The sequence below is a fragment of the Homo sapiens genome, chromosome 6 (assembly GCF_000001405.40).
Source record: "Homo sapiens chromosome 6, GRCh38.p14 Primary Assembly".
Taxonomy (NCBI): domain Eukaryota; kingdom Metazoa; phylum Chordata; class Mammalia; order Primates; family Hominidae; genus Homo; species Homo sapiens.
This window is the reverse complement of record NC_000006.12, coordinates 121,652,354-121,668,367: the sequence shown is the minus strand read 5'-3', so window position 1 is coordinate 121,668,367 and position 16,014 is coordinate 121,652,354. Positions and strand designations below refer to the sequence as shown.

The following is a 16,014-nucleotide window of genomic DNA, read 5'->3' as shown; positions in this document are numbered from 1 at the left end:
GAAAAAAAAAAAAAACTATTGTGAATGAGTAAGAGATTGTAGAATTCCCAGAATTTTTTACTTACAAACCTTAAAAATGTGTGAAACATTTAGCAAAAATCAAATTTTCTTTTCTGAAAAAATGTCCACTGTCAAGGTGTGGTGGCTCACACCTGTAATCCCAGCTATTTGAGAAGCCGAGGTGGGAGGATTGCTTGAGGCTAAGAGTTTGAGACAACCCCAGACACGTAGTGAGACCCCATCTCTACAAAAAATTTAAAAAAATTAACTGGGGGTGGTGGCACATGCCTGTGGTCCTAGCTACTCAGGAGGCTGAGGTGGGAGTATTGCTTTAGCCTGTGAGGTCAAGACTGCAGTGAGCCATGATCGTGCCACTGTACTCAGGCCTGGATGTCTCAAAAAAACAAACCAAAAAAACCAAAACGAACAAACAAACAAACAAAAAAACCATGCCCATGCCCACAGAAAACCAGTGAAAGTTAAATAACGCCTAGAGCAGTGAAGAGAAAAAAGAAAATGCTGGACACTGTGGTTCATACTGTAATCCTAGCACTTTGGGAGGCCAAGACGGGAGGATCACTTGAAGCCAGGTGTTCGAGACCCATCTGGGCAACAAGTGAGACCTTGTCTCTACAAACAAAGAAAAAAGGAAATAATAGGCACACTTTCAAGATCCTTCTTCTAAACTCTTTAACAATTAAATGAGTTGCTATCTGTTATAACAGAAATGAATTCCTTGGATCATTGTCTACATGTTTTCTAAACCAGATAATACACTCATTGGCATGTTTCTCTGGTTCTCAGATGCTATTAGTTCCTAAAGGCTTTTAAATACCATACTGTGTCCATACATATAATGATGTTATAATATCAGATTATATTCTCTCTGGGCCCCCAAGATATGGTAGGAACACTTGGTGTGTGCATGTTATCTACTTATTTAATCTAATTCTTCCTCTCTGGTGTGATAATTTAATCTCATTGACATATATAGCTATGAATGAACAAAGCTTCTCTTGTTACTTTGACATAAGAGAATAAATTCCCCCATCTCCCCCCTCATATCTATTAAGTTCTCTAGAGTTGTCATCTTAATTTGTGATCTGCTATTAGAAGGTGATGTTAATTACTTTATAACAATATAAACAAGAAACTTTTTATCTACAAAATCTTGGCTTTTCTGGGTATTAATGTCTTACACAATATAATTTCTTTTCAGTCCCAATTTGTTTTGTTCTTTTTGTTTGTCATCGGGCCAACTTTTATTGCCTTATGTAAAATGCTCACTGTGGAAGTTATCAACTACCAATTAAGAGAACTCCAAGTGCTAGGAAGGAAGGTGAAACAAAGCTCTCAGCAGGCAGGGCTTATACTGATAACCGGAGAGTACTAAATTAAGACTAATTCACATAACTTCAGAGCATGACTCAGAAGTTCATGAGTCATGAGCTTTTACGGAGCAAAGGCAGGCAATATACAGGGAAGAGGTCAGTGTATACAGAAACAGGCTGAAAATGCACAAATAGTAATAGATTTCTGAGTTGCAAAGATGCGTATTATGACTGGGACCATCATGTCCATAAAGGATAATAATTCCTGTGGAGAAATCAGCATTTCAAGTGATGCCAAACAGAGCACATTGTAAAATAGAAGTTCAATTTATTTTGTGCTTGTCACTGTGACTATGAATTTCCAGTTTGAAAGGAAGATTTTGGGAGTGCTCTATGAAACAACTGGGCCATAGCTACTTGAAACCATGCCATGAGGAGAGAAATAAAAGCAGGGCACTTTGTGTCAAATCATCTGTGCTTGTGGGCTCATTCTCACTATCTTCCTTGCCATGTAATTGGCGTAAGTCTATGATTATCCGACTCACTCTCCATCCTTGCATTGTAAACCTGCAAGCCTTTTGATGTGAAACTCTATTTTCCAATGTGTCTCTTTGTCATACTATGGACCATATTGTCGATTCCCAGCCTTGGACCCATTTTCTGCCAACCTTGCTAGGGAGGTCACAGTAAACCTAACTTTCTCTGACATTTTTATTTCCCTCTTGGTTTTCAGCTTGCCTGCCACTACCTTTACCGTCAACCCACGTACATGCACACAAAGATTCTTCACTTTATTTTCCAACTACATGAGGTGTGTTACTTCCCAGCCAGAATCAGTGGTGTACTTGTTACAGGTTTTAGCAGACAAAGTCTATTGGGTGGAGGAAATACACAGAAGGACATTGATTCCTAGGTCAGTGGGAAATAAAATAAGGATTCAATGAAGTGGAAACTGTGAATATGGTAACTAGGAATAGAAGTAATCAAGGGATTTTGTTTTTTAATTTTTTAAATTTTTTTGTAGAGATAGTGTCTCACTATGTTGCCCAGTCTGGTATCGAACTCCTGGGCTCAAGCAATCCTCTCGTCTTGGCTTCCCAAAATGCTGGGAATACAGGAATGAGCCACCACATCCAGCCAGGAATTTTTTTTTTTTTTTCCTAAAGAGGAGAGTGTCAGATGAGGAAGGATAAATGGTTACATAATCGAAGTGACAAGAAGGCCCAGAAATGATGAAAATAGAAAGTGAGAGAAGAACTGATTTTTGTGGAAGGTTGTAGGAACACTGGTCCGAATTTTTGGTGGGAAAACACAGAAAACAAGAAATAAATGGTGACTTCTAGTCCACGATTCTTCTTTCATTGAATTATTATGTCTGTGAGGAGGGCAGATTGCAGGTGGTATGAGATAGTGGCATGAAGAGCAGATTCTGGATTCAAACAAACTCAGCTCCCCTGGCTACTATTATATGAACTTGGGTGGGTACAAAATCTCTCTGGGACTTGTAAAGCAGATGTAGTAGTTGTAGCTACTTCTGTGAAATAGTTGTCCATGCTCAGTGTCTTCCTCTACCTCCTAAACCCCCTGCCATCAGGATTTTGGCCCCTTCATGCCTCCACTGTTACTGTGGTCACCAATAACATGCCATCGAATGCCACGCTCCATTCTCAGGACTCATCTTACTTGACATATCAGCTGCATTGACACAGTTAAAGTCTTCTTCCTTCTAGATCCAGGAGTGTCCACTTTTTTGGCTTCCCTAGGCCACATTGGAAAAAGAAGAATTGTCTTGGGCTACATATAAAATACACTAACGCTAATGATCGCTGGTGAGCTAAATGGCAAAAAAAATCTCATGGTGTTTTAATAAAATCTTACCGCCAACCATAAATTTGTGTTGGCCACATTCAAAGCTATCCTGGTGAGTTGGACAAGTTTGTTCTAGATTTACTTTTTCTCTTGGCTTCAAGGACACTATACTCTCCTGGTTTTCCTCCCATGCCACTGGTTGCTGCTTTTTGGGTCTCCTTTTACTTGCTTCTCCTCTTCTCTCCAAATGCTCAATGTTGAAGTTCCTCAGAGTTTAGTTCTTTTTCTTCTCATCTACATTCCCTTCCTTGCCATCTCAACCAGTCATATGAAATTAAATTCTATGTCTATGTCATAGACTCTCAATTTTTTATCTCTAACCCAGACCTTTTTCTTAAACTTCAGACTTATATGCTAAATTGCTAACTGAAACACCTCCATTTGGAGGGCTAATAGATACCTCAAACTTAACACATCCCAAATGGGACTTCTAGTTTTCTCCCCCTAAAGTTTTCTACTTTCGGTCTTCATCCTGTCATTTAATAATGATTCTGGGCCAAATGTCTGGAGTCAACCTTTTATCTTCTCTTTCTCTTATATCCCACACCTAACACGTCTGCCCTACACCTAATCCCCTTGTCTCTACCTTCAAAATATACCTAGTAACTTACTACTTCCTGTAGTCCCATTCCAGTTCAAAAGCTATCCTTTTCATCTAGATTATTGCAATGATTTGTTAACTGATCTACCCTTGCCTTACCACAGTTTATTCTTTATGGAGAGTCAGAGCAAGCATAAGTCAGATTACATCAGTCTTCTGCTTAAAGCTTTCCAATGACTTCATATCCCACTCAGGGTAAACGCCAATGCCTACAAGTCCATCTTCTCTGCTCCTCACCCTAAGTATTCCTCTGATGTCATCTCCTTTTTCTATTCTCTACCTCCCTTACTCATTTCTGACCACACTGGCCTCCCTGTGCTTCTTGAACCTGCCAAGTATGTCCCCATCTTATGCCTTTGCACTGGTGGATTGTTCCACTAAAAATACTATATTCTTTGGATAGTCACATGGTCACCTTCCTTAACACTTAAACATTTTTGCTCAAATGTACCTACTCAGTGAGGCTTACTATGACAATCTCATTTAAAATTGCAACCTGCCCCACCTCTGGCACCCTTGATCCTCCCCTTAAATTGTGTGATCCTCCCCTTAAATGGCTCTATTTTTCCATAGCACTCACCACCCTCCAAAAAAAAATATGTATATAGTTTATACATATAATATATTTTTAATATGTATATAAAAATATATACATATTTATCTATATATAATATAGATATTTATATATTATATATATAAATATATAGATATATAAAATATATATTTTTTTTTCTTAGAGAGACAGGATCTCACTCTGTTGCCCAAGATAGAGTGCAGTGTGCAATCATAGCTCACTGCAGCCTTGAACTCCTGGCCTTGGCCTCCCAAAGTGTTGGGATTACAGGCATGAGCCACCAAGCTCAGTCTCTCTCTCTCTCTCTCTCTGTTTCTCCCTTTCTCTGTCTTATTTATTTATTTATGAGATAGGATCTTGCTCTGCCACCTAGGCTGCAGCCTCACACTCTTGGGATTGTAGGCCACCACACCCAGCCTATAATTTGTTTATCATTACTATTTATTATTTGACTTTTCCCAGTAAAATATGAGCTCCAACAGGACATGAATAAAAATATGTTTGGTTCATAGATGTATCTCAAGCACTTAAAACAGTGCCTGACACACAGTAGCCATTTAATAAATATTTGTCAATTTGAGTAAATAGATGACATACTGGTTTTTGAGTATTAAGCAACATGTCCTGGATGTCCTGGACTTTACATTAATGCAATGCTTGCTCTATAGGGCTAAAAATGATAGTGATGAGCAAATATGTAGGGTAAGAAAACTTTCATGCCCTCAGCTTTTCCTTTTCCAATCTCTTTTGCTCAATAAGCTGTTTAATTTTCCTTTCTTAAGACCCAGCTAACCAGAGACTCTATGGAAAGAGTTGAATAAATTTAATAATTAAAGAATTTGTATAAAGTAGATTATCTATTTATTTTTTAATTATTTGATAGTGTGTGTTATTTTCCAAAAGCTTTCCATTTTGAGAGACAAAAGTAATTTTTAGTCAAAGGAATTTATCTCAAACTACATTTGGGGCCTTCAATGAGCTGAATTTAAAAAGGTAGACTAGGGACAGAGAAGTTTTTATGAAATATATTAAATCAGATCAGTGGTGGAGTCTGATTCACTTGCAGCAAATAATGGCCTTAAATATAAAAATATATTTAAAGAAAATTGGTCCAAAGAGAGTTCATAATTACAAATACTTTATTTGTTGATAAATAGCCTGACAAAATTCAGTCACTTTGAATAAGCAGATCCACAGTTTGGCATCTTTCCTGTTATATAAATAGAATAAATTCAGTTCAATTTCTTCAAAAGTAGGAAAATGTATTAAGGAGTCACGGATCCATAACATGAAGAACTTCTCTGAGAACAATGATCTTCACTGTCCATTGGCTCTAATTCATTTCATTGAATTTTCAGTTACATAAGTAAAGATTCTAGCTGTAGATCAAAATAACGAATAAGAAAGGTAAGCATTATACATACCCATTGAGATTATTATATTTTTGATTCATTATTGAACATTTCTTGAGACCTACTATATTACAAGCAGTATGTTAGAGAAGTTAAGATACAGCTCTTGGCCTCAAGTAGTTATAGAGAAAATTAAGATAAAATATAAAAGATGCTGCAGATTAAATGTGCACAGATGCTATGTAAACAAAGAAGAGGCATGACTGCCTCTGATGAAGGGGTCAGAGAAGCTATTTTCTGAACTGAGCTACAGAAATGTGAGTAGAATATTATCAGGGACAAGGAAAGGAGGACATTATGGGCCTAGGAAAGCAGCAAATAAACCAATAGAAAGCATAGGAAAGACATTAATGTAAAAAAGTGGAGGGTGAGCGGTGGATTGGTAATTAGGAATCAGAAGATTTGGTACAACTGATTGGTTTGTTAGTTCTTTGGGGAAAAAAATTAAGTAGATACACTTGTATATAATTCAATCAAGAGGGAAAAAAAGCACACATATTCTAAATAAGAAAGTTCTAGAAAATAATCACAGACAAAAAGGACATGCAAGCAATCTTAGGAGATTACTTTGTTCAATTCTCAATTCCATGTAAATAAATTTGAAAATCTAGATTAAAGTGATAATTTTGGGGGAAGATATAATTTACTAAAACTAATTCTAAAAGAGGAAGCATTTTTAGTATCCTCAAAGATAATACAAAATATTGTATAACACTCAAATTTCATTTTTGATAAAAAAATTTAAGATAGAAATAGATGGATACTTTTATGACATAATAAAATATATCTGCTTCAGCACCAATACCAGGATTATGCTTAATGGTGAAGCACTAGACCAAGTTGCATTAAAGTCAGGAATATCCACTATAACTGTCATTATTTAATATCAAACTGGATGTCCTAGCCTATTAGACAAAAGGAAGAAATTAGAGTTATAAATATTAGAAAGGAGAAAATAAAGCTACCAATATTTGTAGATAATTTGATTGTCTTTCTGGAATGTTCAGGAGAATTGCTAAAACACAAAAACAAACAGCTTTAAAAGCAATAAAGAAAATCAGTAAGTTTTCTGGAACAAAATCAGGTTGTCATTCAGAAAACAATTAGAAACATTTTAGAAAAGACTATTTAGCACCATTAGAAAAGATTAAATCTCTAAAAATAAAGTTTATGTGCTATGTATAAGATGGATATGAAGAAAACTTTAAATCTCTATTGAAGAACCTCCACAAATATTAACAAAACATATTATGTACTTAGATAATAAAATGAAACATCAATCATATCACTTTTCACTAAGGTATAATTCATAAATTCAGTATGATTCACATAAGAAATAGGAATTGAAACTGGACAAGATGTTTCTCAAGTTTTCTGAAAAATACAAAAAAATAAAATGTAACAGGGGAAAAATAGAATTGGTAGTGGGGGTTGTTAATAATCCACAAGATATTAGAATGCTTACAAAGTTACAAGGACTAAAACAATGTGACAGTCATGTGACTAGACATGTCAATGGAAAAAGTAGGAAGTCCAGAAAAAAATTGTGTATATTTATTACATACTTTGTATAGCAGATGATAGTAGTGGCATTTTGTATCAATGGGGAACATTATTCCTAGGTATAAATAATATTAGGAACATTTGGTATCCATCTGAAAAAGGTCAAGTTCCTGCAGACTTCATACTTTATATACCAATGTATTCCTGACGTTTTATAGTTTGAAAAGTTGAAAAAAAAAACACAACATACCACAATATCCCCACCATAAAATAAATGGGATATCAAAATTCGATTGTTTAAATTCAATTGTTTAAGTTGTTTAAAATGTGCATTACTGTGTGGTTAATGAAATGACCCAAACAGCAGCGAGCTTGGGTAACTAGTTGGCTACATTTTAGTTCTGGGATTTCAGCTTTACTATCCATACCCAGAGCTGGTTACAGTTTGTCGCTCCCTCATGGCAGTTGTTCATGTCCACCTAAATATCGATGGGGAGGATTCCTGGTTTATGTTTGGCAGCAGCAATTCCAAGATGCTGGAACATATTTGAACCATTTTGTCAGCTCCCTCTGGGGAGACTGGAAGCAGAGAATATTTCCACAGACAGAGCTGCCTGCTATTCTCTTCCCTAGCTTTATTATCTTCTTCGTGCTTCAACTGACATTAACTTGGAATAAGAAATTCAGTGAATCTCTGTTTGAAAATGAGGCTGTGTGAAGGTGGTAACCCATTGTCAATCATATTATGTTGAAGATAATATTTTCACATGAAGTACTGTGGAAATTTACTACAGAAGAAATCATGAAGGAGTTTTTAAAATATTCTTGAAATGGGGAAGATCTTTCTAATATAATACCAAAAAGATATTAAAGAGTAAAATAATAAAAGTTAGAGTAATTTAATGAAGTTAGACAGACCCCATTATATAAAAAGTCTAAAGAAAATAACCAACTGAAGAAAAATATTGGGCACTAAAAAAAATGGTTAATATTTTCAACATATAAAGAGTATTTAAAATAATTTAAAATCAACAACATTCTGACAGAAAAATCTTTAAAGGATAGGAACACATGGTTTACAGAAAACTGAAAAATAGTACTCTGCGTGTGTGTATGTGTTGTTTAGACAACAATTAGAAATATATTTTAGAGGAGACCCTATTTCAATGCCATCAAAACAGAGTAAATACCTAGGAATATACTGTACATGATATGTGTAAGATTAATATGAAGAAAACTTTAAATCACTATTGGGAGACTCAAAAAATACATTAATTAATAGAAAAATATATGGCACACTTAGATAATAAAACTCAACATCGAATATGTTACTTGTCACTGAGGCATAGTCTATAAATCTAGTATGGTTGAAATAAAAAAGAAGAATTTTAAATAGAAATGTATATATATATATATGTATACAGGGACTCAGCTCATTATTAGTGAAATGAAAATTAAAATAGAACTGATATTTTATGTTTTACTTAACAAAATATACAAATAAAAATGTTTTATCGAAACATGCAAAAAATAAATTAATAAAAAATATATTGCATACTTAGATAATAAAACGCAACATCAAATATGTTACTTGTCACTGAAGCATAGTCTATAAATTTAGTATGATTCAAATAAAAAAGAAAAATTACATAGAAATATATATTTATATATGCATATGTATATAGGGACTCATTAGTGAAATGAAAATTAAAATAGAACTGATATTTTATGTTTTACTTAAAATGTACATGTAAAAATGTTTCATTGCATACTTTATAGGCACAAGTATGGGGAAACATGAGGTTTTGTATTTTTTTTTACATTTCTACTGAGAATATAAATTGAAAAAACCTCTATTTGTCAAGAATAAAAATTATAAATGCACATATTATTTAATCCAGCAGTTCCAATTCTGGGGCTCTATTCTACAAATATAGTTCTGTAAATGATTTATATACACATTATTCATTGAAGTATCATTTATAATTACAAAAGATTGAAACAATGTGTCTACTCATAGGGAACTGGCAAAATAAATAGTTGTGGATGGAATATTATGCAACTTCAAAAGAAGATGGGTAATCTACATACTGACAGAATTTCCAAGATATGTCGTGAAATGTAAAAAGCAGAGCATAGAATGGTATGAATAACCTACCCCTCATTTTCATTAAAAAACAAAATATGCATATATATTTTATAAATACATTTTCTATTTATACTTACAATGTCCCTCAGAAACTACACAAAAAAATTGGGAGCTTTAGTGTATTCAACATGTGGGACTAGATTGTTGAGGTTCAGGAGTAGGAGCAATACTTTTCACTTGTCTTTTTTTTCATTTTGAATTTTGACAACATGACCCATAAAAAATTGCAGCATAAAAAGGGTTTTATTAGTAATACAGTTTATAAACTATTGATTCCAATTCAGCTTCTTTATTTTAAAAAAGAAGAAACCAAGACCCAGAGCAGTGATGACAGAAAGCTACCCATCTTTCCGTAGGCAGGACCAGAGTTACATCCTAGATTTTTTTCTGCCTCCTAGTTCAGCGTAGGATCCACAAAACATAAAAAAAACAAACAAAAAACTCATGTAATTGGATATTATAAAGAAATCGATTAAAGAAAGACAATCAAAATCAATAGCATATTTTAATTTTAGGTTATGCTATATGGTTTGATACAATATATTCTGAAAATGTTGCCATCTTTTGTCCATGACAATGTTACTTATTTCATGGTCTTGAGTAGCTGTCTTCAACAGTAGTGACAGAAACTGAGCCTTCTTTCTGTCTCACAGGTTCTCCTTTGTGACAAAGATCTTCTCTTATTTGTAAGAAGTCAGAAAAGATTATCTGTATCTGTGGAAAAGAGATTTCCTCTGTGCCATGCTGGATGACACCATTTCCTTTAAGACTTGGATGTAAATTCTTCTCAGAAACATCAGCTTCCTTTTCTTTTCCTGAATTATTTCCTCTCTGATTATGCCTTAATTCTATGTCACCTCAACTCTTATAACTATAATTAATACAATGTGTCCTTCCTGTCAGTTAAATTATACAAACATTTAATGAAGCTCCTACCATATACCAGGCACTATGCTAGGGACTTGGGACAAAAAGGTCATAGTTTCTGCCTTCAGGAAACTCAGTTTAATCAGAGATACAGATCTACCAATTTAAAAATTATTTATTTAAGACTTACTATGAGCCAATGACTGTTCAGGCTGTTGGGAATATAGCAGAGAAAAAACATACAGAAATCTTAATGATTGAAAATTAGGAAAATTTGATAATGGAGGAAGGGGTTATTTTGATTTTCTAGGTGTCAAAATTGTTGTGGTTATATAGAAAATGTTATTCCTAAGAAATACATGATGAAGTATTTAGGAAAGAACTCTCAAGAAGTATACAATTTACTATCAAATGATTCAGGAAAGAAATGTTTGTTTCCTAGAGTTTATAGTCTTCTTCAACAGAAGAAACACATTCAAATTAACCCTTTTGTCCCGGTCTGGTGGCTTGTCTGTAATACCAGCACTTTGGGGAGGCCAAGGCAGGGGAATTGCTTGAGGTCAAGAGTTCGAGACCAGCCTGGACTGTCTCTATTTAAAAAGCAAAGAAACAAAAACCCAAACTCTTAAATCTTTTTTGAGTTCTCCTTTGTGAATAAGTGGTTGTATTTGTGAAAAAATTGCACATAATTAGAAGGTATTATCTGTACTTATTTTATAAAATGGGAGAGTTTGCAGCTATATCTATTTCTGGATAGATAGATGAAGCAAATAGTGACAACATGTTAGCAATTATTGACTCTGCATGATGAGGGTTCATAAGATGGTTCATTGTACAAAACTTTAAACTTTTTTGTATGTTTGACATTTGTCATTGAATAAGGAGTTGAAAATCTCTATCTACTGAAGTGTACATTCTCGTGGCAGGAGACAAACATAAGAAAATAAATAAGTAAAATATATAACACGTCAGATGACACTAAATATTATGGGGAAACATAAAAGAGGAGGGGGAATGAGAAGTGTGGTTTTAACAAAAATAATTTATAAATCTATATATTTGAATAACATTTAGAGTTCCATAAGCAGAATGACTTAGAGTGATTTCTACTGTGTGAGTTATGTAGAAAAAAAACAAGCAAGACCTTAAAGCATAAGTGGAAATTTGCTGGAACAACAAGTAGGGTGGGGGATGAGCTCTGTGAGGGAATTCTAGGGCAGGTTAATAGTAAAAATGAGTGGTTCACATGCTCTGCTAAAGAGATTCTGGTTCTAGAGTCTTGGAATCTGCATTTTTATAAAACTGCACATAATTCTAAGGTGCTCCAAAAATTGAGACTCTGTAGTGTGGAAGCAGGGAAAGCCTTTGGGAAAAGAGAGACTAGGAAAAGTGGTTGGAAGTACAGATCGTTGCTAGGCAGAAAAGATACTTTATAATATGATAAAGATTTTGGGATATTTTCTGTAGGCATATGGGAACCATTAAAGGTTTCTTTTTTTTTTCCTTTTTACCATGAGAGTTACAGGAGTAATCACATATGAATTTTAGAAAAATAATACAGATTGGTGAATGGAAGAGGGAAGCTACTAGAAGAGAGACCAGTTAAGTAAGGCTACCCTAGCAGTTAACATAAACTTAACTGCTCTGGAACTTTAATAAAGAGATATTTGGAGGGAGACTGGGCAGATCTTAATGATGATGTGAGTGAGAAGGAGAATTCCAAATTCCCTGATTTTGTGAGCCACTAACAGACTTTTAAAAAGCAGAAGATGGCTGGGCGCAGTGACTCAACGCCTGTAATCCCAGCACTTTGGAAGGCCGAGGCGAGCAGATAACTTGAGGTCAGGAGTTTGAGACCAGCCTGACCAATATGGTGAAACCCTGTCTCTACTAAAAATACAAAAATTAGCTGGGCGTGGTGGCACTCACCTGTAGTTGCAGCTACTCAGGAGGCTGAGACAGGAGAATTGCTTGAACCTGGGAGGTGGAGGTTGCAGTGAGCCAAGATCGTGCCACTGCACTCCAGCCTGGATGACAGAGCAAGACTCCCTCTAAAAAAAAAAAAAAAAAAGCAGAAGATACCAAGTGGAGGAGATAATAGAGAATATAAATTAACTTGCAATTTCTGAAGAAGTTTTGGTAGATGTGTACGGATTTATCCAGAAAACAAAAGAAAGTGTAACTCTGATGTTTGAGCAAGGTTTTGGGACCAGAAACAGAAATTTTGGACACGCTAGCTTACATGTGGTAATTGGAGCCCACGGCACTGGTCTTGGTGGGAAATGATACAAATGCTCACAGAAGATGCTGGCAAAAATGAAGTAAATATAAGCAGTATTTAAGAGCTGGTTGGAGGAAGAAGAGGCAATAAAAGCCACTCATTATTTCATGCCAAAGAGTTTAGCAATTCCTCAAAGATAGGACAGTGTCTTTTACTTCCTTTACACACAATTTTCAAGGCGTTAATGCAGTATGCACAACAGGTATTTAGTAATTGCTTAGCAGTTGACTGGATGGCATGTGTAAGAATCAACCTTTTGCCTGTTAGCATTATGACGGAGTCTAGATGAAGGGCTTAAAGCCTAATATCAAAGGCCAGTATTATGGTTAAAGTATCAAATAAAACAAGAAATATTAAAAACCGATCTGAGTTGTTTTATTCAGTACTAGAACTCAACCTAAATTCTAGTTAAGTTAAAAAAATAAAAAAGGAAAAAAGACTATTTAGTCATAAACTACGTTTCAAAGTGAGAGGCGTTTTCCAAGTAGCCTGAGAACTGTATGTTAACAATTCTGCAGACATTTTTCTCTTTTTTGCCTAACAGTTCGGGCTCTTTTTCTCATACTACAACATTAGTCCCACTTAAAAAATATTTAAAAACATTTGCCTTCTGTGTATGATACCATTTATATAAATCTTATCAACTATTAATGCTTCAAAAATCATACTGTAAACCATTTCATACCCTTGTAAGAAAAAGATATTTTCCTGACTACAATGACTTATAGCTACTCCTAGCTTATTTTAGCAGCCAGGATAATTGAATGAATGAAAACACACCCACACACACTCTCTCTCTCTCTCTTTTTCTTTTTTTGAAACTTTTTTTTTAATTTTAGGTATTTTTCCTTTTCTGAATTTGTTATTTATCAGGAGTGACTGAAATAAAAAATATAATTGAGTCCCATCTTCATCGTCATGGAAATGGCTTTAAGAGAAAACTGGTCAGATGAATATTATTGCTTCCCATTTTCAACCAGTAAATAGTTGCCACTGATAAATTGACAGCCAGGAATCTGTCAAGAATGCTCAAGATATGTTACATAATACAACATGCCTGTTCACAGGGGGTAAAATCCTAGGAAATAACTTATGTGTACATCTTGATTTCATCATGCAAGACAAGCACAAAAGCACCACCCACGCCTCTGAGAACATTGGACCATGCACCCTTGGAAAACGCTTTGCCTCCTTCAACACAAGCAATCTTTCTCTAGCACTCTTCCATCAGTAGTCAAGCATGCCTGTGTACATGATGTCAGTTCCTTTGCACCCTGACTGCATCATCATGTGGCAGCCAATGGTGTCAAATGGATAGGAAGTCAACCCAGCAATGGCAGTGATAGTCTTTGCGATCATCCGGTTGATGATGATGTAAGTGTTCTTGGGATCTGGAAGCATTCCCTTTGCAGTGTCATAGATACTGAAGTAGGCAGCTCGGTAGATGATAATACCCTGCACAGACACGTGAAAGCCTTGGTACAGGCCCTTAATCCCATCACATTTGTAGATCTTAACCAGGCAGTCACTGAGGCCTCGGAATTCCCTTTCAGCTCCAGCTTTACCCACATCGGCTGCTAGATGGGCAAAATCAAGAGGGTACACATAACACAAGGATGTGGCCCCAGAAACACTGCCTGATGCCAGATTCCCTTCAAAGTAGCGCCAAAACTGGGTCCTCTTGTCCACACCACCCAGGAAGATCTGCTTTTATTTATCTTTGAAAGCAAAGTTAAGAGCCTGGGTGGGGAAGTATCTGATGACATTGGCCAGGTTACTGCGCCAGAAGGACAGGACTCCCTGCTCCTTGAGAATACGGACCTATATGGTCTATAATGCCCTTGTATTGCTTATCTGCGGTGATCTGCTTGCTGGCACACTGTACCTGCAGCAGCAGCTCGATCCGCTTGATGGGAGCAACCTCCGTCTTGGAGATGGCCGTGGCCACTCTACCTGCCAGGAAGTCCTTGAAAGGAAAGAGGAGGCAGGTTGCTGCCAGAAGGGACTGGGCCGGGAACCAGCTTTGACTCCGGGGCTGCGGGTCCATTTGAAACTCTTAAATTGTAAGTTGTGTGACCATTGCCTCATCAGACGATACAGTAAACCAGAGTGAACAAAAAACCAAAATTCTGCATGGATTATTAACTAAAAAGAGGAAAACTAAAATTATTCATAGGAAAGATTAGCAAAGGTTACTCATAGTACAGCTGGATGACCTTCAAACCAAGATTATGCAGATGCGTTGAAAGAGATGGGAGAAGAAAAGCATAATATTTATTGGACCTGATGGCATCTCACAGGATTCAGGCTCATAATTTCCTAAGTGACTCAGCTGCCATTGCACAATCAGTGCTTTGAAAGACACATTTCCTCAAGACAACTCCAAAATACTAATGGTGTTTTCCTGACCTATGAACTAATCTCCATCTCCAATTTACCTAAATACATTCCAGATTGCCGTGTTTACCTAATGGATCGGCTAATTTCTATTTCATTAAAAATATCTTAAAAGCCCTTACTACACACACTGATTGATTTAATTTTCTTCTGCAAATCTAAATAGCTGTAGGAGTCTGAGCTATTAGCCATCAGTATTTCCTGTGTTATTTTGAGCTTCTTCAAAAGATTTCTGTTTTGGTCGTGTGCTGAAAATAAATTTCAGTCAGATAATTATTCTTTATTCAGGAAGAGGCTGAAAGTATGGGGAACTTAAAAATTAAAAGGAAAAAAATAGAGCAAAGCTGTTGTAATCCCCAAAGGCAAAAACTTCAATCCAGAAAAGTGGATTCCTTTTCAATTTACAACAACAAAAAAAAAACTTGAGAAAATAAACATCGTGGCTTAGACAAGTTTCCATCGCTAAAAGTTGTTCTTCGCTAAGAAAATCAAACCACAAGTATGTGTAAGAAGTGATAGGGTACAGGGTACTGAGAGAATGAGTGAACATTAGTGAACATTCTGAAATTCATTTGATCAAGTTCATAAGATTTTGGCCACTGATACATAATCTTATCAGGAACTAGGAAAAAAAAAGGTAATTTTATGCTTCCTATCAGGAAGGTAGTGTTTCTCACTTCCAAGAACTTAGCACTAGGTAGATCTTGGTTATGACTGATAATTAATAAGTTACAGTAAAGAGTATAAGTTATATTCTTTCCTGACTTTAGCTTTCTTGGGAAAAACGCATACTGACTAGCACTGTGTCTGTTTACTCATTTATCTTTCCTATGTTAATAAAATTTAGTACGTTGTCACTAGAGGCAAGCAATTGGTTTGCTAATATCCTTTAGGAAATATACTTTGTTTAGACAAAGTTTTAAAACAATCAGCATCCGGACCAAACATCTGATAAACTGTAAAGCAGGAATAGGTACTTTAATTTTAGAGTAACGATGACTTATTTCCTCTCATTGCAGGTCTGTGGCTT

At 35.5% G+C, this 16,014-nt stretch overlaps 1 pseudogene; it reads right to left on the bottom strand.

Moving 5' to 3' along the window:
- SLC25A5P7 (solute carrier family 25 member 5 pseudogene 7) lies at positions 13,420-14,629 on the bottom strand (annotated as a pseudogene).